This window comes from Homo sapiens, chromosome 14 (assembly GCF_000001405.40).
Source record: "Homo sapiens chromosome 14, GRCh38.p14 Primary Assembly".
NCBI classification, from domain to species: domain Eukaryota; kingdom Metazoa; phylum Chordata; class Mammalia; order Primates; family Hominidae; genus Homo; species Homo sapiens.
In genome coordinates, this window is record NC_000014.9 from 60,709,337 (window position 1) to 60,731,959 (window position 22,623).

The following is a 22,623-nucleotide window of genomic DNA, read 5'->3' on the forward strand; positions in this document are numbered from 1 at the left end:
TGACAAAGATTATTTTTCCAAAATCACTCCAATTGGCCTTATAACCATTTGCCAGCTTTTGGAATGTTTGTTTTTTCCCTTCCTCTTCTTCCCTTTTCCAGAGATAAATAAAACCAACATTATTTCTTTTTTCTTTTCTAGTAAGATGAGTCATTCATATTTAAAAAAACACAATATTTCCCAAATAATTTTCAATGCAAGGTATGTATAAATATAAAGTTTATTTAGCATAGTGTTTAGAAAAATAAGTTCACATCATTTCAGAAAACAAATAAAACACTTAATTGTCCAGGCATAAACCCCCATTACAGTACGACATACATACTTCAGATCTCTTTGGTTGGGTAATTAAGCACAGAAATGTTCTGGGACATGCTCTGTGTGCCATCACCTAACAGTGCAGTAAAGACTCTGTTACCCCACCCCATGATATACATTCTGTATAGAGTTTCTCTTTGTGTAAGGCACAGTAAAACCATATTGAGTATATAATTGGTTGCCTCTAAACATACAGTACATGCAACAAAATAATATTTTTGAGAACTCTGAAAGCCAAAAGAGTCACATGCTATACAATTTTGATTAATAAAATGTATGGTGGTAAATTAACATAAAATGTATCAATTAGATACAAAGTAACTGCTAGGCTCTATTATCTAAGTTTTACAAAGAGTTTAAAATATCTTTTGTGAAATGTAACTATTTCCCCATAGTTTTCCTGAATTATTTTTATTATGAGATGATCTGTCAAAACATTTTAAAGAATGAAGAACTTGTGGCTATGTACTAAAGCACACTTGTCTAGCATGTAGCAGGGCAGGCTGCCACACATGCCCAATAATCCAACTTTTAACATGCAAGATACAAGGGCATACACAGAGAGATTTAAGGTCAGTGTGCAATTTAACTATGGATTTTTACCTATGGCTATAATATCTACCTGCCTTTCATAACACAAGAAAGGCACTGAAACGTGTACAATTTAAAAAGTCTTTTCATTACTATAAATATACATGAGATATAAAGCAGTACAACACAGGTGCTCTTGCTTGATTGAGGAACAAATGCACCTTCTCTTTAAACAATAGACTGTCCTTTACTAGATTTAACTAAGAGCTAAATGCCAAATTCTGGCTGATAGAGTGCATAGATAGGCTTACACCAAAAATCCCACAGCCAGCAGCATGGGTTGGGTTTTGCAGGGAGTCATTTACCCCTGTTTTGATCTTCAGGGATCATTAGAGGGTCATTTGCAGCATTTTCAAGCATTGGTTTATGTAAGAGGGAAATTCTGCCACATGACTCCAAGGGTTCTGAGTCTGGCCCTTGGTATGGCAAAAGACATTTGCAATTCTGTGCAAGGAGATCATGGGGTTTATCTTACTCCATTCACATATACATGGGCTGCATACCAACTGGCCCTTATTCAACTGAAAGAATAGAAAAGAACAATAAGTTCTTTATACTGTGCATTGATTCTTACCTGGTATATTGTGTAGCTACCTGAAGTAATTGTAGGGTTATAATTACATCATGGTGGGAATATGAATGGGTTTCCTAGGTAAGTCTTAAGTTTTGTGCTATCTTTTCTTTTTCATAAGGGAGAAAAGAGGAAGAACACTGAATAAAAGAGAGGCTTATTGTATTTTCGGAAAACATATAAAACATTTCCAGTTATATATATATATATAGCATATATAACTAAAAACCTCCCCATCTCTCTTGTTGGATGGGTATTTGAAAATAACAAACTCTTGATATCTGCAGCAATCAAGTGGAAAACATCATTTTTATGTAAACTACACTGCAGAGCCATGTAATTAATCTCAGTAACAGGATCAGCACACACCCAAAGAAAAAACAAGCTCTATGAGTAGTAGTAGAGTGGAAAAGAACTCTCAAACACCTGACTTTGTAAAACAAAACAAAAAACATGTAGCTTCAGCAGTTTAGGAACATTCACCAATTCTATCAAAAATGATGTAGTTCTTTATCAAAATGATGGGAGAGGAATTCTTCATAGGGTTCTTGATATATGCCTGCAAGTTCCATTTATGATAACAAAAGTTAAATCCTCTATGTCCCTTATTCAACATGCTTGATTGATTGACATGTAGAGAACTAGAGTGGGCCCTTTGTTCTGATCATAAAAAAAAAAGCAAGATGTGGCCAGGCACAGTGGCTCATGCCTATAATCCCAGCACTTTGGGAGGCCGAGGCGGGCAGATCACGAGGTCAGGAGATCAAGACCATCCTGGCTAACACGGTGAAACCCCGTCTCTACTAAAAATACAAAAATTTAGCCGGGCATGGTGGCAGGTGCCTGTAGTCCCAGCTACTCGGGAGGCTGAGGCAGGAGAATGGCGTGAACCCAGGAGGCAGAGCTTGCAGTGAGCCAAGATCGTGCCACTGCACTCCAGCCTGGGCAACAGAGCGAGACTCCATCTCAAAAAAAAAAAAAAAGCAAGATGTGCTAACATCTAACACCTTTATGTTCAACAACTTGAAGTTATCTCTGAAGAAATTATTTTCTCACTTTTTTTGCTTTTCAGAGACTAGAGAGCAACTTTACTCACTACATAAATTTATTTGCATTGTTACATCTTGTGTTCAGAGTCTTGATAAAACTATAGCCACGGCTTACAACATTATTAAACAAGCTTCTTACAGAAACCAAAAATATTTACTTTTAAAGAAGACATGATAATATAGTGCAAACAACAGTCATGTGTCAGAGTGTAACAACTGATTCAAAACCTTTAGAACTAAGTTTCAACAGGACAGAATTTTGCTCAATAGAATTTACATATTTTCTTTCCTTTAAAATGGTTTTCATAGCCTGTATAATCAATTTGACATGGTATTTATAACTTATTTTCCTTGTAATGAAAAGTATCAACAATAATTAGTTGTTTATCCATTTGTGTGATAAATGTCATATATATTATTTAGTGAAACTTAAGTTCTTCAGATTTAAAGCAATTTTGTGGTGAAATTAACCCTGTTAGATAGTAGAAAAGAACCATCAGTGCTTCTGTTGACACTTCTGTACCTTACTACCAATAAAAAGGCCACGAGGTAAAAAGGCACATAGAATTCTATAAAAAACATATTTAAATGAATCAGAGTTGCTAAATAAAGAACAAGGATGTGAAAAAAAGTACCAAAATTCCAATATTGGGAGTTAGATTTCCTGTTTCAGTGTTATTAATATTGACCTTAATAGATTCCTGGTAAAAATCATTATTTTTAAAATCCTACAAAAAGTAAAACTTTGTTGGAAACGACTATGTTCACTTCCTGTTCAAACAATAAAAATAAATTAAACAGTAAGAAAACATATTTTTCAGTTCATAGCGCCTGAAGAGAAACATATACATTAAAAATAAAATTCACTGTAATTACTCAAATCCTGCTTATAGAACTGATATATTTACATTTATACTGAAGTTTCAGAGTTTTTAGTGGAGTTCCGCACTTTCTCAGCCACACTGAGCTATTAGAAATCACATTTGGAAATGTGTTGAGACAAATGTGTTTGAGACCCAAGACTTTCTCAAAAAATGCTGAAAAAGAGGTGTGTGTGCATATATATATGCATGCTACTTAACTTTAAAAATATGTACCATTTATGTTTCTTAACCTTTTCAATGCCCATGGAGTAAAAGTAAACAAAAACAATTGTATTATTTCTAATGGTCTGCAGCTATCTTTAATTTTCTATGTTAGGTGTATACATTTTTTAATTTAAAAAACTATCAAGTTCCATTTTGACCTTAGAATTATAGAGTCAACTAAATGATTCACTTTGACTTGATACATTTCACCTTGTCCTTTGTCTCCATCTATTTAAAAGAGAAATTTATAAGTGAACAAAAAGGCTGCAATAATGCAGTTCTACTCCTGTATACTTAACTGTGATCTTCATGCAGATCAATCTAAAGTCTCTTGTATGCATATACTTGCAAAACTAGAGTGTTTTCCTTTAAATGGGAAAATGTTTTGTGTCCTTGGGGCTTCATGAAAAGATTTGCCGCTGATGCCAAAAAGAGGTGAGGAGGAAATAAAGTTCATAAGTCTTGCATATCTTCATCCAGCTGGACAGTCTGGAGCTTGGCAAGCTCTTTTTTGTCTGTTTCCAGGTCTTCACAGACAGTATCAACCATGCCATCTAAGACATACTTGGATTTAGAGTCCAGCATCATTAAGCTACTTGTTGCTTTGCTCTCAGAATTTGATAAGAAATTCTCTTTCATGTTAGCTACCGATTGCAGAACCAAACGATGTTCTTGGACAAAATCCTGATGTACTGCTGGGGAGGGGTGACCTACCTGATCTTCAGCTGTAGGAACTATTTCCCCAAGGGCAGCCTGAGTCATAGGGACTGACAATAGGTCTTGACCAGTAATAAGGGAGCAGTTCTGAAGAGTTGCATAGTTAGTGTTGCTGACAGATGTCACAGTAGATTTGCTTGCCACCGGTGCAGACATTGGTTGGCTATCGGCAATGTCGCGGTTTAGCTCAGTGGGATTTAGTAGTGTAGAGGGACTGAGAGAAAAATTGTGAGTTGGAGATACATTAACTAATGAGGAGGCCAGTGGATGCAGGCCACTCCCCGAGATGTTTTCAGAAGACAGGTTTGCATTTACTTGTGCATTCTGATTGACAGGCATCAACTGAGAAAATACCAGGCTCCTTTCCAAGCCTTCCTGTTTCACAGATCCTATAGTCTGGCCTGTATTAGGAACCGTGTATACCACTGCACTGGGAGCAAGAGAGCTCAAGAAAACCTTTCCTTGCTGGACTGTGGTAGACTCACTTGTAAATGTGCTTCCATCTGAAGTGCTTGAGCTTACTGAGATATTACCTAAAAAAAATAAAGTACTGATTATCACTGATGGAAGTGAGAGGGAAAGAAAAAAAGTTACACACACGTTTTTTTCTCAGGTACAGTATCTATAAAGAAGCAACACTTCCATACAATCATTTAGCCCAATTCTGGTTCAGAATTACCTTGGGCACCTAAAACTACAGATTCCCAGGCTCTACTCCTTGAAAGTGTAACTTAGTACATCTTAGAACATCTGTTTTTACCTCTCCAAGTAAATATATATATAGATATATTTTGTATGGAGACATCTTTTATGTTTAACCCCAACAACAACACAGCCAAAAAAACTACTTGCGTTCCTGAGTCGCAGGTGTGCCTGTGTTCCCCATCTTTCATCAGCTTCTTAGAAAACACAGTGACTTCCAAACCTTTACTTTTTATGTCTCATGACCTCGAACGGTCTTGAGGATAGAACATGTCAAAGGTTCTGTTGCTTATTATTTCTTTTTTTTTTTTTCAGATGGAGTCTCACTCTGTCACCAGGCTGGAGTGCAGTGGAGCGATCTCGGCTCATTGCAACCTCTGCCTCCTGGGTTCAAGTGATTCTCCTGCCTCAGCCTCCCAAGTAGCTGTGACTATAGGCATGCGCCACCACATCCAGCTAATTTTTGTATTTTTAGTAGAGACGGGGTTTCACCATGTTGGCCAGGATAGTCTCAATCTCTTGACCTTGTGATCCACCCACCTCGGCCTCCCAAATTGCTGGGATTACAGGCGTGAGCCACAGCACCCGGGCCCTTTCTTTAAAAAAAAAAAAAAAAAAAAATTAGATTCAGGGGGCATGTGCGCATGTTTGTTACACGGGTATATTGAGTAATGGTGGGGACTGGGCTTCTAGAGTACCCACCTTCCCAAGTAATTCTGATGACCAAGGGGGATTGAGAACTACTAGTTAGAAGCCAAGTGTGAAAAAAAAAAAATCTTTTCCAAGTTCTGATTCAGTCAAGTTTCTGTTTCTTCACTAGTAACTTGACATCTCTCAATTAGTTGATAGTTATTGCTAGCTCTGCCAGTTAGAATTAGAAAACACAAATGCACCTTCATTCAGGACTGACTGCTCAGTAACTGACATAAAATATAAATAAATGGCAATGCAGAACTTACCACATAAAATGAGTTACCCTGGGGCTTAAAACTTAACCATATAAACCTGTATAGACAAGTTGCAAACTTTCACCAAACTAGCCATAAAGTAATAAGTCAACAAAACATTCAAAAGCTTTTTTGCCTTTTGTTGTGCCAGTTCTGAATTTTCAGTGTTGTAGTAATAGGAACAATTAATGGTAATAAGAAATGTGCTTTTTAAAATACAGATTAACATAAAGGATCAGAGCTAATGCTTCTCTAAAAGGTTTGTATCTTTTGAGACTCTTACTATAATGGTCTATAGAGACCAGAAGTAGAAAAAAAAATGTTAAGTAGAAAGCTGAGATGTTCAAATCAGATCACTTAGACAATGTACACGAATTAGACCCCCCACTACCATCAAATAACACTCTTTTGTTCCTGATTCCTTACATAGGCATGAGATGATGGCAATTAGATAATCTAGGACCTCAAATATGGTCACTGAAGGAAAGGTAGATTTGGGGGAACTTTTGTGATAGGTGGGCTGTTTATCCTCATCTTGAATTAGATGTTCAGTCAACTCTTTTTTTTTTTTTTGAGACAGTCTTGCTCTGTTGCCCAGGCTGGAGTGCAGTGGCACGATTTCTGCTCACTGCAACCTCTACCTCCCAGGTGATTCTCCTGCCTCAACCTCTGAGTAGCTGGGATTACAGATGCATGTCACCATGCCTGTCTAATTTTTGTAGTTTTAGTAGAGATGGGGTTTCACCATGTTGGCCAGGCTGTTCTCGAACTCCTGAGCTCAAGTGATCTGCCAGCCTCGGTCTCCCAAAGTGCTGGGATTATGTGAACGTGGCTCACTGCAGCCTCGATCTCCTGGGCCCAAGCAATCCCTCCCACTTCAGCCTCCCAAGTAGCTGGGACTACAGGTACGTACTACTATGCCCAGCTAATTTAAAAAAAAAATTTTTTTTTGAGACAGAGTCTCGCTCTGTCACCCAGGCTGGAGTGCGGTGGTGCAATCTTGGCTCACTGCAAACTCCGCTTCCTGGGTTCAAGCAATTCTCCTGACTCAGCCTCCTGAGTAGCTGGGATTACAGGCACGCACCACCATGCCTGGCTAATTTTTGTATTTTTAGTAGAGACAGGGTTTCACCATGTTGGTCAGGCTGGTCTCAAACTCTTGACCTTGTGATCCACCCGCCTCGGCCTCCCAAAGTGCTGGGATTACAGGCATGAGCCACCGCGCCTGGCCAATTTTTTAAAAATTTTTGTAGAGATGAGGTCTCACTATGTTGCCCAGGCTGGTCTGGAATTCCTGGGCTCAAGTGATCCTCCTGCCTCAGCCTCCCAAAGTGTTAGAATTACAGGCGTGACACCACATCTGGCCTCAGTAAACTACTTTTTTGAGAGAGCAGCCCAATGTTAAAGGTAATTAATTCACCTAAAACATTTTCCTTCCTGAAGTATTAGAATATTGTGATTATATTATCACCTCTATTGATAAATAAGTGCCACAGGGCTGTTTATGTCTTCCAAATATTTTTAATGCAAAGGAATGTCTTCAAGTAAAAAGAAAACACTGCATATGAACCCTTTTAAAACATTTAACTAGAAAGTTTAATCACAGAAATACCAGTGTTAAGAAAAACATTTCTAAGTATGTTTCAGTTATTCTCTTACATTTCTGTTTCAGACCACACATATGAAAAAACTGCTTTTATTTGAAAACACTGCCTTCAACTTAAGTATGCTTTAAAACTCTTATTTTTATTTATTTATTTATTTATTTTTGAGATAAGGGGTTTTGCTCTTGTTGCCCAGGCTGGAGTGCAATGGCGTGATCTCGGCTCACTGCAACCTCCACCTCCTGGGTTCAAGCGATTCTCCTGCCTCAGCCTCCTAAGTAGCTGGGATTACAGGCATGTGCCACCATGCCAGCCTAATTTTTGTTTTTTTTAGTAGAGACGGGGTTTCAATATGTTAGGCTGGTCTGGAACTCCTGACCTCAGGTGATCCACCCGCCTTAGCCTCCTAAAGTGCTGGGATTAACAGGCGTAAGCCACTGTGCCCGGCGTCTTTAAAATTCTTGTAGGCAGCTGATTTGTGGCAAAAAAACATCTCAAATAGATGTTTAGTTTATTGTGTGTATGTTTATGAAATTGTTTGCCAATGTATGCATGAACAAAATGATTAGTTATCTTTTTATAGAGCCATAAATAGCATAATACATGCAACATTTTCCCCAACTGCTACTGAATATAAATACTTCTGAATTTGTAGAAATTATAACATATATAAAAGAGAATTTGATCTAAAATTTGATTTTTGAGCATAACTACAACTGAAGTAAAAATTGAACAACAATTTTAAGATAAAAAAATCCAACTGAAAAACCATATAGATACAAAGCATTACTTTGTAATGATAAGAAAAAAATCAGGCCAGGCGCTGTGGCTCATGCCTGTAATCCCAGCACTTTGGGAGGCTGAGGTGAGCAGATCACAGGAGTTCAAGACCAGCCTGGCCAACATAGCAAAACCCTCTCTCTGTTAAACACACGAAGATTAGCCGGTCATGGTGATGCACGCCTGTAGTCCCAGCTACTAGGGAGGCTGAGGCAGGATAATCACTTGAACACGGGAGGCAGAGGCTGCAGTGAGCCGAGATCGCGCCACTGTACTCCAGCCTGGGTGACAAAATGAGTCTCCGCCTAAAAATAATAATAATAATAATAATAATAATCTTAGTTGCTCAGACTGTAAAGTGAGTAAAAGATGTAGATATTCTACTTTTCCACATAAATCCCAACTATAGAAAGATAAGTCTATCTTGTCAAGACATTTTAAAGAATGGCTCAGTATCTGTTTGTGAGAAAAAACTGAATCCCCAAAATGTTTTATTGAGAACTGCAATACCTAACTACCATAGAAATGTTGCTTACTGGATTAAACTTAACTATCTGGTTAAACTTAGACTGTCTGTTCAACTCACCCAGACAGTCTAAGATTTGATCTTACTTATTTTAACTGAAAATGCTATTCTTATTCCTATTAAATGTCCCATTTAAAAACTCAGCTATTAGTTCATAATAATTTTCTATGGCAGTGCTCCTCTAGATTACACAATTAAAAGTATTTCTACTTTTCTCCTCCCCCAACATACATAACTCATTCTTTCTGCTCAAATTTGTTGCCTTTAAAATGTGACCTGTTTGGAAATTTTCCAAATGAGAGAAAAGGGGTTAGATCCACATTAAATTATTATCAAACTAAGCACTTTGGCTTTCCCTGTGGTTTTCATATTTTTGCCCTATGTTAGATAGTAACTTAACTCTTTCCATAACTTGGAACAATGATGAACTGAATAGTATGCTGCAGGAATGTCTTGTTTTAGTACCATTTTGCCTAAAGAAATGCAAATGTACAGAATGAAATTTAGAACAATTTTTCCATTAATTCCTTCAATAAGCTGACATAGACCATAGTTGTGGTAACAAGAGAGTTGTGCATAAATTGATTTTTTTGGGGGGGTGGTAAAACCATCTTATAGGAAGCAGACCTTTAAAGCCAACAATTACTACTTTGGTTTTGTAAAAATCTGGATTTTCAGATTTGTCTACAAGAAGGCAAACGTGCATTAAGATCTACCCTTCCTGAATTCAAGGGATTATGCAAACTCCACTGCCAAATTCTAACCATTTCTATTTCTTTAAAGAGAAAATGACATAGAGGATCCAGGCTTGCTTAAAGTCAGTGAAGAACTAATATATCAGCCTCAGTTTTCCTGAATTTCATTTAAGTGCTTTCTCTGGAAGATTGCTGTTAGTAAAGCCACAAACATATAAAATAAGGCTTACTATTATCTTCACAAATAAACCCACACATTTAGGGGGTTAGTATATATGCTGAGCGATAGAAATCCAATGGCATATTCCTCTGATTTTCTTTTAGGTCTGTTAGTCTTCATTATAGGAGGAAACAGGATTCAAACATAATTGATCCGGTCTTTTTAGCTTGTTCTTCTAAAACATTTTTTGGTCAAATAAATAATGCTTAGGTAAAGTGTATGCATTCTTACCAACTGCTAGACTAATTTTGTGTTCTTAGCAATTTTATTAATTTTTAATATTAAAATGCCAAGCAGTGAGTTATTTTGTAAGCACTGATTGACTTATCATATTTCTGTAATTGTAGAACTGGCAGGACTTGCTATGAACTGTATTTTTCCATTCAGTTGTTAGTAAAATAAAAGCCCATCCTCATGATGCAAGGGAATAAAGCAACCTGGATATGACATGGGTATTGTGAAAGAGGAGAATCACATCAAGGCTACTCTACAGCTTCGGCAGCTAATAAGGTACCTGAACAGAAACATCAATCTATAGCTATCACCAAATGCGTCACTTACAGCAGCTGATGAACACATTTGCTGGTGCATTAAGGTACCAAATGAGATTGTTACCTTGTGAAGCTGCCACTGACACAGGGGGCAGCTGCAGTGGAGAGAATCCAATGCTCCCATTAAGGAACTGGCTGTTTGCTCCGGAATTGGGGATCTGGACAATGCCATACTGGTTAATTTGCACTGGTGTAGTAAAAGTCACTACAGACCCTCCATCTTGGGAAGCCACTGTTTGAATGCCTTCTCTTTTCACCTCAGTGCTGGGTATCAGGCCTGGGAATGAGACAGGGACACTGGGGCTGTAGGACGTGGTGGTTGCTGAGTTAGCAGAACTCTGGAGGACTTTGAATTCCTTCACGTCCTGGGAAGTAGACCCCAGTATGTCAGTCATGGATATACCATTGCTCACAATGTTTGATGACATTTTTGGTGGGTTCAATGCCACTGCCTGTGTATTTCCCACATTTAATCCATTAAGGATAACTCCACTGGGTCCCTGAATAAAAGAATTTCCATTAAGGAAGACAGGTGAAGTACTTGCAGGTACCAAGCTTCCATTCAACAGAACTCCAGAAGAGCTTAATGATATCTTAGCATTTCCAATTTGTTGCATATATACTGGCTCCATATGACTGGAAAGGCTGAGGTTGGTGATGCCATCAGATGAACTGGAGAGTGGGTGAGGAGATAAATCCTCATGTCCCTTGCTGGATTCATCTTCAGTGCTGGGGTTGCCATCTGACTCACTGTATGGAGGGGGAAATCAAAATGTTCAGAAGGTCAGGGGGATGACATTCTACACAGTGCCACTTGTTTGGAAAACCAGCTTCTAAATCCATTAAAGGCAGTATTTAAGGAAAGCACAGCAGGATATCTGCTAGTCCTATTTAAACTAAGAGGCCTTTCAGCAGATTCCGACCAGCCAGAGAATCTGGGAAGATAAACTCTCAGATCCCAATCATTTAAAATAACAATAAATTCAGGGAAAGTCCAGACATCTGCAAGATGTAAATTCAGCATTACAGGAGAAGAACATATTTGATTTTACAGTGTAGAAGTGCTATTCCTTACTGTTACATATGCTGCTACTGACACCATAGAAAAAAACACCTTAAATGAGGTGGTCGGTCTTTCCTGTTTAGGAACTCCTTCCCCTCCCCTCAAACCAATTCAGATTAGTGTTATCTTGGAGGTAAATGAAGCTGCCAAAGGAGCAGGAGGTAGGAAGTGCTCAGCTTTTCTTTTTTGGTCAGTTAGTTAACAAGAGATCGTTTTCTCACCTGCTCCCAAACTTCTACTCCACCAGACTGACAACTCTCTCATTCAACAAAGTGGCTGTCCTTGTTGTAGGAAAAGGCACTTTCAACCCAAGAACAGTTATGTGCAGTCGCCTTTGAATCCAAAGGAAGCCAAAGGGGCCTATTTAACAAACACCATCCAGTGCCCTGGTGAGGTGGGAGGGAAAGGGTGTCACTCAGAGGCCTTCTAACTATTAGACCTCTTCCCCAACGTCCTTGGTCCCTCTGTTCCAGGCAGGACCCTGTTCCTCAGCTCTCTGACTTGGGAGAAATACCAAATCGGGGTTGGGGGGTGGGTAGTGATGGGGTTTCCCATTTGGTCTGAGGCTGGGAGGGAGAGCAAACGAGAGCAGAACAGAGGCGTTTTGGAAGCGCAGCAGGACTTGGCCCAGCAGAGGATCCGACATCCCCGCAGTGCCCCGCGGTCGGTTCGCTTTCATGCCGAGGGGAGGGGATTACCCGGGCTTTGGGCTGCGGGGCCAGGAGCGCAGAAAGCGCTTTGATTTACAAGCTGAGGCTGAGCCGCCGTCGCCGTCTGCGAGGGTGACTCACCGGGGGTGCGGGTGGGAGGTAGATCCGGAGAGGGGCCTAAACCAGGCAACTGGGCCGGCGGCGGGGTGGGTGTGGAGTTTATGGGGTGGGGCGGGGGGGACGAAGAAGCCAGCAGTGGAGCGTGGGGGAGTCCCAGGGAGCGTGCCCGGCTCGCGAGCGGAGGCGGCGGAGCAGCTGGCCTGCTCGCGGTGCCCCCTTGCCACCCTCTGCCCCGGCCCTGCGGATTCCGTTGGTTTCCGAGCGCGGGATCCGCGGCCTCTAGTGGGCGCAGGGCAGGTGGCTCGGCGTAACCAAAGCGCCTTCTCTGGACCTCTCCGCATATCTGCGGAAGGCGCACGCACATCCCGGTGCACCTTTTGTTTTGGTTACCGCGAGGGCCGGATAGGGCACCAAGCCTCCCTCCCAGCCTTGGGCGAGGAACGCCGGAGCCCGAGCCGTCGGACCCCCACAGGGGCCCAGAAGCGGCAAGGGCGGGCTGAGACCGGCTCTGGAATGCGCTGGTGATCACCTTCACCTGGCGCAGGCGGGCTGGATCCCCGGCTCCCAGTTTGCTTCCCCGAGAAGAACCTTCGAGCTGCTTTTGGATTCTTTCTCTCCTATCCCCGCGGGGCTGGAGACACCAGGTCTTTAGGCGACCTTCTCCTTACTTTGTTTCGTCCAACAAAACACACAGACGCACACACCAAGTGTCTGACTCGGGAGGACGCACAAAAGAGGTGGAAAATCCGGTATTTTTTTTACCAGAGGGGGAAAGCAGTCTGCCAGGCAAAAAGCTCAAACCCAGTGGGGTGGGAGCGCCCCCACTCCTTTGCTGCCGCCCGCCGTAAGCCGGCCTGCCCCCCACCCATAACTACCGTACCAGGAGGGAGCCAAGCAGCGTTCGGGGGCCGAGGGAGGAAGCAGCCCTTCAGCCCTGCTACCCCGGCTGCGCTGAAACCCGATCCTAAGGAGTTCAGAATCAGGTTTCAAAACATGACAGAGCCGAGCTGCACCAGCACCCCACGTTGCCGCGGCCGCTAAGGGAACCATAGGGGCAGGGTGAATGATTAACTCTGTCATATGAAACCTCGACGTTCCGAGACCCCTTCTGCGCCGCCAGTCCCACAACACTCTCTTCCCTTCACCAGAGCAGCCACCGCGACCTCCAGCGCAGGCCCGGGGGGCGGCTGAACCCTGGGGATCCGGGAGCGTGCGCGCGCGCCAGGCCCGGTGTGACCTCGCGGAGGTGCAGACCCCGGCCGGCGCCGGCAGTCTCTGCGGGCCTCGGGCGGCAGGGAGAGCTACGGTGCCGGTGTCCACATTTGCTTCGTTAGCCCCTCCAGAAACGGGGAGAGGGTGGCAACTTCAAAGCCAGCGGGATGGGGGTGGGAAGCTGGGCAGCAGTGACCAGCCGAGGTGGGGGCGGGGACTGAGACCTAGGCGGGCGACCAGAAACTTCTGGGGGGAGAGGGGGAGGGTAAGGAGGGAGGTTCCCCCGCCCCCCGCCTCCGCCGCCCCCTACCTCTGCCGGCCGGGGAGCGAGGTAGGGGGCGGGGAGAGGTGGGCAGCCGGACCAGGCTGGTGGGGAAGGTAAGCGCCATGTTTGCGAGCACTTGGAGGAAAAGAAAGCCGGGAAGGGGGTGGGGGAGAGGAAGGGGGAGGAGGAGGAAAGTTGGCGCTCACCTTTTGGACTGGGTCTCGGAGGGGTTCCTGTCGCGCTGCCGGCGGTTCTTGAACCAGTTGCTGACCTGGGTGAGGGAGAGGCCGGTGATCTTGGCCAGGTGCCGCTTCTCGGCGGGCGAAGGGTAGCGATTCTGCTTGTAGAGCTCCTTGAGCGCGTTGCGCGACTTCTCCTTGAAACAATACACCGTCTCCTCGCCGTCCCAGATGGTGCGGGGCAGGGGGAATTTCCTGCGCAGCCGGTACTTGTCTACGGCTCCCAGCGGCCGGCCGCGGGCTCGCTCGGCCTCGGTGTAGCGCGCCTTGTACCAGAGCTGCTGCAGCAGCGGGTGGTTGGCCGACTCGAAGCTGTGGCTCTCGAGGATGCTGTAGAGCTCGGGGTAGATGCCCTGGTGGAAGGCCACGAGCGCCCGCGCCTTCAGCAGGCTCTCGTTGCCACGTAGCAGGTCGCTCTGGGGCAGGGACCACAGGAACCGGGCCAGGCGGTCCAGGTTGCCCCCCTGCTGCAGTGCCTCGCACACGCAGGCGACGTGGTCGGGCGAGAAGGCCAGCGGGGTCTGCGCGGCGGCGGCGGCGGCGTGGTGGTGCCTGCCCAGAAGTTCCGAGTGGAGTTGTACCTGATCCGCCGCCGCTCCGGCCGCCGCCGCCGCCACTGCCCCTTCCTCTCCGCTCACCCTGGCGGCAGCGGTCGCGGCGTCCCCCGGCTCCAGGGGAAAAGGGGCTGGAGCCGGGGGGCTCAGCCCTACCGCCGCGCCCCCCGCCACTTCTCGGTGCGCCTCCTGCCCTTCCGAGGCGCTTTCCATCCCATTCTCTTGCTTGATGTCCGCCGCACTTGCGATCTGCCCGGTGGGGGAGGAAGAGGACATTTTTTGTTGTTTATTTTCCTCCCTCCCTCACTCCCTCGCACTCTTTTCCTCTTTCTTTCCTCCTCTCTTACTCCTCCTCCTTCGTCTCCCTCCCTCCTCTCCCCCTCCGGAAAGCCCACTCCCTCCCTCCTGGTTTCGGCTGTATCTGGCCGATCAGGTTTCCCCCCGGCCACGCAGTCACCATTAAGATAGCTGTTAGAGCAAAGTAGTGTAAACGGATAGCTGCTTTCTGCCGTTCCCCCAACGTGACTCCTCCGGTTGCTGCATACTATATGGCAGTGGCGGCCGGGCCGGCCCGGCCTAGCCACCTCATTGGCTATTTCGCATTCAGAGGGAGGAGGAGACACAGTTTCTATCCCTGTCGATCACCCGCCTCCCACTCCACCCCTCGCCTTTCCCTCCCCTCCTGACCCCCAGGCACCTATACCTGAAGGAAAACACCGACATTCTTTCCAAGCCACGCTCCTGGGCGGGAAATTACCTAATGTGGCCTGAAAACTGGACAACTCTTTCAAACAGAGGCCCTACAATTCCAGAGGGAATATTAATTGTGTGGCCTTAAGGTCTGGATGGTTAAATTTTTAACAAAGAGACCACCCTCAGCATCTAGATGACAAAACTTCAGAGGACAATTCAGAAGCCCCCCAGTATGTCCCTGTTCCCCATTCTCCCTCTTTTTGGATGTCTTTATCAAGGATTTTGTATTCAAAACGGTCAAAAATAAAATGACACTAGGAAATGTTCTAAGGGGCAAGCATTTACAGTAAATTAAAATTCCAAAGAGGGAAAAATGCTTGAAAACCTTATAATTAGCAGCATAAATAGCACACTGAGAAGACAAAAACAAGAAGCCTTCAAAAAATGTACTTAACCTTAAGCCACGTGGAGGGCTGGCAACCCAACTGAGTTGAACATGGTATAATTAAACATGTAGAATATTAAACCATAAGTTTATCCTGGATGAGTCGTGTGGAAGAGATCTAAGCTTTAAATATGGAAATTTAAGTTTTCTACATGAACTTTTTAATGTAAGTATATGAGTATTTCTTTTTTAACGATGATAGGCTAGAAACACTGAATGTGCGGGTGTCATCCAGATCAGTGCAGGATCAGAAGCCCTTTTCCACAGCATAGACAGATTGCCCTCTGGTTTGATGCTGAAGTGGGGGTAGAGTCTTTTGTTGTTTGCAGTTGTGTCTCTTTCCTTTGTAATTTGCACAAGATCTTAATTCCAAAAGGGATGATCCATTTCTGCTTCTTTGATTACTGTAGGTCAGTTGGGTTTGCCTGCTGCTGCTCTTTCTCAAAATTCAACTTTTTTTCCCCCCGAGATGGAGTCTCGCTCTGTCGCCCAGGCTGGAGTGCAGTGGTGTGATCTCGGCTCACTGCAAGCTCCGCCTCCTGGGTTCACGCCATTCTCCTGCCTCAGCCTCCCGAGTAGCTGGGACTACAGGCGCCCGCCACCACGCCCAGCTAATTTTTTTTTTTTTTTTTTTTTTGTATTTTTTAGTAGAGACGGGGTTTCACCACGTTAGCCAGGATGGTCTCGATCTCCTGACCTCGTGATCCGTCCGCCTCGGCCTCTCAAAATTCAACATTTTAATGACATCATCCTAACCTTTGCTTCAGGGTGGCCTTGTATTGTGTATGCTTCCCAGCTACTCATAGCTGCCTACTTCAGCATATTACAAAGCAGCTGTCTAGGTCACCTGCCGTCATGATAAACTTGGTGAGATTTTCTTTTTTTTTGTAGACAGGCTTTATTTTATTGCTGGTCAATCAAGATGTCATTTGATGTAGGATTTAACTTGTTTTTGCATTACCCTAATGTGTTGACATCGCTGGTAGATTTAAAATTTATAACAACAGAAAAGGCCATATTATTTATTTGCTTATTTATTTATTTATTTATTTATTTATTTTTTGAGATGGAGTCTCACTCTGTTGCCCGGGCTGGAGTGCAGTGGCGTGATCTTGGCTCACTGCAACCTCTGCCTCCCGGGTTCAAGCGATTCTCCTGCCTCAGTCTCCTGAGTAGCTGGCACTACAGGCGCGTGCCACCATGCCCGACTAATTTTTTATATTTTTAGTAGAGATGGGGTTTCATCGTGTTAGCCAGGATGGTCTCGATCTCCTGACCTCGTGATCCGCCCGCCTCGATCTCCCAAAGTGCTGGGATTACAGGCGTGAGCCACCGCGCCCGGCCAAGACCATGTGTTTCTACTCCACTGGAAACATCCAGTTAGGTACCAAGCTTCAGGACAATAACTGAGATTCAGAACTTCCTTGAATTTTTGTTTGCTTGTTTGTTTTTGTTTGAGACAGGGTCTCTCTCTGATGCCCAGGCTGAAGTGCAGTGGCATGATCTCAGCTCACTGCAACCTGCCCCTCCTGGTTTCAAGTGATTCTCCTGCATCAGCCTCCCGAGTAGCTGGGATTACAGGCACCTGCCAACCACACCCAGCTAATTTTTGTATTTTTAGTAGAGATGGGGTTTCACCATGTTGGCCAGGCTGGTCTTAAATTCCTGACCTCAAGTGATCCGCCCACCTCAGTCTCCCAGAGTGCTGGGATTAGAGGCATGAGCCACCACACCTGGCCAAATTTTTTTAAAAATATATTTTTTATTTGGAATGCTTTTCATTTACAGAAAAGTTACCAAAATAGTAGAGTTTCCACTTACCTTTCACCTAGTTCCCTTTAATTTTAACATCTTACATGATAATGCTATATTTATCTAAACAAATTAACATTGGCGCATTTCTATTAACTAACCTCTAGACTTTATTTGGATTTCACCAGTTTTTTTTTTCATTAATGTCTGTTTTCTGTCCTATGATCCAATCCAGGAGACCATGTTGCATTTAATTCCTTGAAATTTTAAAGCACATTTCTCAGAACAAAGTAGACAGGATATGGTGTGGTTTAGTGGAAAGGATGTGGATTTGAGGATCAGATAGCTAGACACAGGTTTAATCCTAGCTCTTCCATTTATTAGCTACTTGACTATAAAAAGTCGACTAAGTTGTTGTGAGGATTAAATGAGATAAGATGTGCCAGAAAGCACCTGGTGAGTAATTAATCCTTGGTAAATGTTTGTTATCTTCTTCCTGATATTGCAAAGTAGGAGACTTTTTAGTTGTATATACCTAGTGAAAATTCCTTTGGCTATGTTTGGAGCCATCCCAAACCAGGTCACAGGAGTCTGCTTCAGAATTATTATCAATCAAATATAGTGCATTGACTTGGAAAACCACTTCTGCATGTCTTCTGTATATTTGCCTCTAGAGCATCAAGTTCAACAGATTATATAGAAGCAACAGTGGCTTTTTATGACATCTGTAGCCTGTAGCTAGCTACATTGCTATTCCATACCTCCAGTAGGACCAGCTGTGAAATCCACACCAAGATCCAGGTTCCTTTAGCCAGTTGACACTCAGAGCTCATTCTGCCAGCAATTCAAAGTAGACTCAAACATGGTCAGTTACATTGGAATGGAATACTAGACCTGAAGGTGTGTAGAGTTTATCCCAGAGCACTGGTTTTGCCAAATGTGTTGTAAAATTGATGAATACTTGCTTCTACTTCCTATGTGTGCCATGCTGTGAACATTGAGTCTGTTGTATTGATATGCTGTCTAAAACTGTGTTGCTCATGGAATACTACACAGCTATAAAAAAGAATGAAATCATGTCCTTTGTAGTAACATGGTTGCTGCTGGAAGCTGTTGTCTTAAGTGAATTAATCCAAAACAGAAAACCAAATACTGCATGTTATTTATAAGTGGGAGCTAGGCTGGGTGCAGTGGCTCATACCTGTAATCCCAGTGCTTTGGGAGGCCAATCTGGGAGGATAGCTTGAGGCTAGGAGTTTGTGAACAGCCTGGGCAACATAATGAGACCCTGTCTCTACAAAAAATAAAAAAAAAATAGCTGGGCATGGTGGTGAGCGTCTGTAGTTACAGCTACCTGGCAGACTGAAGTGGAAGGATTGCTTGTGTCCATGAGTTTGAGGCTGCTGCCTGGATGATAGGGGGGAAAAAAAAGTAGAAGCTAAACATTGGGTACATGTGGACATAAAAATGGGAACAACAGACACTGGGGACTCCAAAAGGGGTGGGAGGGACGAAGGGGATCAAGGGTTGAAAAACTACCTGTTGAGTACTATGTTCACTATTTGGTTGAAGGGTTCAATAGAAGCTTAAACCTCAACATCGTGCAATATATCCATGTAAGAAACCTACACGTGTACCCCCTGAATCTAAAATAAAAATAAAAATCAATCTGTGTTGTGATTTGGGAAAACAGGATTGAGGCTGGGATTGTGTGAGAGTGAAGAGCAAAAAACCAAGCTGCTTGTTCTGTGTCTTTTCCTTCCAGCTTGAAGACAGTGATGAGTGTAGGTAAAAATCTTTGGCCATTTTAGTATATTGAAGAAAATCAGGTGCAGCACAAAATTTTACACTTTGCTTGAATATATTTGATGGTTTTGCCATCAAGAATGGAGATTTCTTCATTCATCAGTGAGTTTGGGCTGGGTGTGGTGGCTCACACCTGTAATCCCAGCACTTTGGGAGGCCCAGGTGAATGGATCGCTTGAGTCCAGGAGTTTGAGACCATCCTGGGTTAACATGGTGAAACCCCATCTCTACAAAAAATACAAAAATTAGCTGGGTGTGGTGACACTCACCTGCAGTCCTAGCTACTTGTGAGGCTGAAGTGGGAGGATCACCTGAGCCAGGGCTCCAGTAAGCCATGATCATGCCACTGAGCTCTAGCCTGGACACAGAGCGAGACCCTGTCCCAGGGGGAAAAAAAGCATATGTACTGGTACTATTAGTGTATTAGAGAAATTAGGTTCTAAAGTTATCTCCCATCCATTATTATTTAGTGATGGTTGATGACATGTAGTGAATATTTCTGAAGGATCATTTATTTGCCAAACACTTACTGAGCCTTAAGTTCAAGGCACTGGGTTTGGTACCAAAGGATAGAAAGACGAATATATTGAGGTCTCTGTTCCTGAGGAGCTTAAAATTTTGTGGGGGAGATAAGACAAAGATAAGTAACAATATAGGATATGGGATTGGTGAGGATAAAGAGTCTGATTTTGAGAGGAGGAGGGCAATTGGGAGTGAATTTTTAGCTAGGTCTTTAAGGACAATAATTTTGAGAGGATAAGGATAAAGGTTAATGAGAAGCAGAGGAAACAGAATGAGAAAAGCATGGAGCTGTGAAGGTGTGTGGTATATTTTTGAAATAGTAATCCAGTGTGTCTGGAGTGTGGGTTGTATGTAAATGTGGGTTATTAGCTTAAAAGGCATGTTGGAGACAAATTATGGACTTTGAATGAAATGCTGTTTGCTGTGGGATATACAGTGGTGATGTCTGTGTGTCATATCATGGCCACCATTGATGACCCAAGATGGGCACTTGCCCCAAAACACTCAGAATCTTTTGCTGGGAGTTTTCAAACTTGTACTGGAAGAATTAAGGAAGACTAGTAGAGGGAATCTTAGAAATAATGCTTGGGAATTCTCAGTGATCAAGGTATCTGCATGTTTAGGACACTGATAAGCAGTAGGTGAGATGAAGAGTGACCTAGTGAGTCACATGGGCTACAGTGGAGAGAAGACATCCTGGCAGAGACTGAGTGCCAGATTCTAGTCATCTCCCAAGCATAGCAGCACTCTTACTTTTTTATGGTGATATGAATTTCCCCAGGATCCAGAGACCCCACTTGAACTGGCCTAGGGAAGAATTGTTCAAATTGGCAGTAAGGGAAAAGCAGCAGAGCCTCTTTGATGAAAATGTAAAATGTGAGCTTGGAGCTACTGGGAGCCATGTTTCTAAGGTTTTGGAGAAAGCTCCTTTGAAAACTAACCTGATGAGAAAGACAGAGGCAAGTGAAATGGGATAGCAGGTCTTCAAGTCCAGCCAGCTGCACTCCTGCTCTTCACATTGTTTGATATTGTGATCCAATAAATTCAACTTTTTGCCTAGGCCAGTTCAATCGGAGTTTCTGGTTCCTGAGGAAGTTCACAGCCAATAAAGGTGTCATGCCAACCCCTGTGCCAGGGGGCAGGCATTGTGATTAACAGACCTAGTAGAACCACATACATGTGGGGTGAGGGACTAAGGACTATTTCCCAAAAGAAGTGGAGTAGAGATGCTGTCCTTAGTAAAGGGAGAAAACAGTAAGTATCCTCTTCCGATGAGGAAAGCCCAACCTGGGTCCATAGCCTTGGGGCTGGAAAAGAAGGTCTGCATTTGAGAAACACTGTCCCATTCCCATAGAATCTACTGTTAACTGAGGTAGGAATGCTAGAGGATGAGCAGACTTGGGAAGAGAAATAAGGGCCTCAATTTTTCCACTTTTGGGATTCAGCTGTCTTCAGAAATGTATAGACCAATGGAACAGAACAGAGGCCTCAGAAATAACACCACACATCTACAACCATCTGATCTTTGACAAACCTGACAAAAACAAGAAATCGGGAAAGGATTCCCTATTTAATAAATGCTACTGGGAAAACTGGCTAGCCATATGTAGAAAGCTGAAACTTGATCCCTTCCTTACACCTTATACAAAAATTAATTCAAGATGGATTAAAGACTTAAATGTTAGACCTAAAATTATAAAAATCCTAGAAGAAAACCTAGGCAATATCATTCAGGACATAGGCATGGGCAAGGACTTCATGACTAAAACACCAAAAGCAATGGCAACAAAAGCTAAAATAGACAAATGGGATCTAATGAAACTAAAGAGCTTCTGCACAGCAAAAGAAACTACCATCAGAATGAACAGGCAACCTACAGACTGGGAGAAAATTTTTGGAATCTACTCATCTGACAAAGGGCTAATATCCAGAATCTACAAAGAACTTAAACAAATTTACAAGAAAAAAGTCAAACAACCCCATCAAAAAGTGGACAAAGGATATGAACAGACACTTTTCCAAAGAAGAGATTTATGCAGCCAACAGACACATGAAACAATGCTCATCATCACTGGTCATCAGAGAAATGCAAATCAAAACCACAATGAGATACCACCTCACACCAGTTAGAATGGTGATCATTAAAAAGTCAGGAAACAACAGGTGCTGGAGAGGATATGGAGAAATAGGAATGCTTTTACACTGTTCGTGGGAGTGTAAATAGTTCAGCCATTGTGGAAGACAGTGGGGCGATTCCTCAAAGATCTAGAACTAGAAATACCATTTGACCCAGCCATCCCATTACTGGGCATATACCCAAAGGATTATAAATCATGCTACTATAAAGACACATGCACATGTATGTTTATTGCAGCACTATTCACAATAGCAAAGACTTGGAACCAACCCAAATGTCCATCAGTGATAGACTGGATTAAGAAAATGTGGCACATATACACCATGGAATACTACGCAGCCATGAAAAAGGATGAGTTCATGTTCTTTGTAGCGACATGGATGAAACTGGAAACCATCATTCTGAGCAAACTATCACAAGGACAGAAAACCAAACACCGCATGTTCTCACTCATAGGTAGGAGTTGAACACTGAGAACACTTGGACATAGGGCAGGGAACATTACACACCGGGGCCTGACGTGGGGTGGGGAGATGGGGGAGGGATAGCATTAGGAGAAATACCTAATGTAAATGACGAGTTAATGGGTGCAGCAAACCAACACAACACATGTATACATATGTAACAAACCTGCATGTTGTGCACATGTACCCTATAACTTAAAGTATAATAATAAAAAACCTAAAAAAAATAAAGTAGTAAAACAAAAACAATACATAGGAAGCGTAAGTTTCATATGTATAGCATATAGAAAAATGCATAATTTTGAAGTTCAGAAAATGAAAAAAATTTGTTCTTAGTCAACA

At 43.2% G+C, this 22,623-nt stretch overlaps 1 protein-coding gene across 3 annotated transcripts, besides 2 other annotated features; it reads right to left on the bottom strand.

The window, feature by feature from the left end:
• On the bottom strand, positions 203 to 15,015 carry SIX4 (SIX homeobox 4). 3 transcript variants are annotated; one of them, XM_005267759.3, is made up of 4 exons: positions 14,920 to 15,015; positions 13,876 to 14,711; positions 10,424 to 11,109; positions 203 to 4,867 (listed from the first exon to the last, which is right to left on the bottom strand). In XM_005267759.3, exons 1-4 carry the CDS (start codon positions 14,920 to 14,922, stop codon positions 4,071 to 4,073), a joined length of 2,322 nt encoding a protein of 773 aa, XP_005267816.1. In that variant the 5' UTR covers positions 14,923 to 15,015; the 3' UTR covers positions 203 to 4,070. The 3 variants fall into 3 exon arrangements, with proteins under 3 accessions (XP_005267816.1, NP_059116.3, XP_047287430.1); NM_017420.5 differs by having other exon boundaries at positions 13,876 to 15,015; XM_047431474.1 differs by lacking the exons at positions 203 to 4,867; positions 10,424 to 11,109 and adding an exon at positions 11,772 to 11,808 and having other exon boundaries at positions 13,876 to 15,015.
• Positions 13,080 to 13,149: a silencer, noted in NCBI's record as "silent region_5815". NCBI's record gives its function as "represses an Ori minimal core promoter by ATAC-STARR-seq in GM12878 lymphoblastoid cells {active_cell/tissue: GM12878}" and the evidence as "EXISTENCE:reporter gene assay evidence [ECO:0000049][PMID:35858748]".
• Positions 14,428 to 14,497: a silencer, noted in NCBI's record as "silent region_5816". NCBI's record gives its function as "represses an Ori minimal core promoter by ATAC-STARR-seq in GM12878 lymphoblastoid cells {active_cell/tissue: GM12878}" and the evidence as "EXISTENCE:reporter gene assay evidence [ECO:0000049][PMID:35858748]".

Bases quoted from the DNA above. Each gene is read 5' to 3' on its own strand.
- SIX4 (NM_017420.5), bottom strand. From the start codon at position 14,738: ATGTCCTCTTCCTCCCCCACCGGGCAGATCGCAAGTGCGGCGGACATC. The intron at 11,110-13,875 runs GTGAGCGCCAAC...CCCTCCATACAG, and splicing joins TCCGAGACCCAGTCCAAAAG to TGAGTCAGATGGCAACCCCA. The intron at 4,868-10,423 runs GTAACAATCTCA...TATTTTTTTTAG, and splicing joins GTCAGTGGCAGCTTCACAAG to GTAATATCTCAGTAAGCTCA.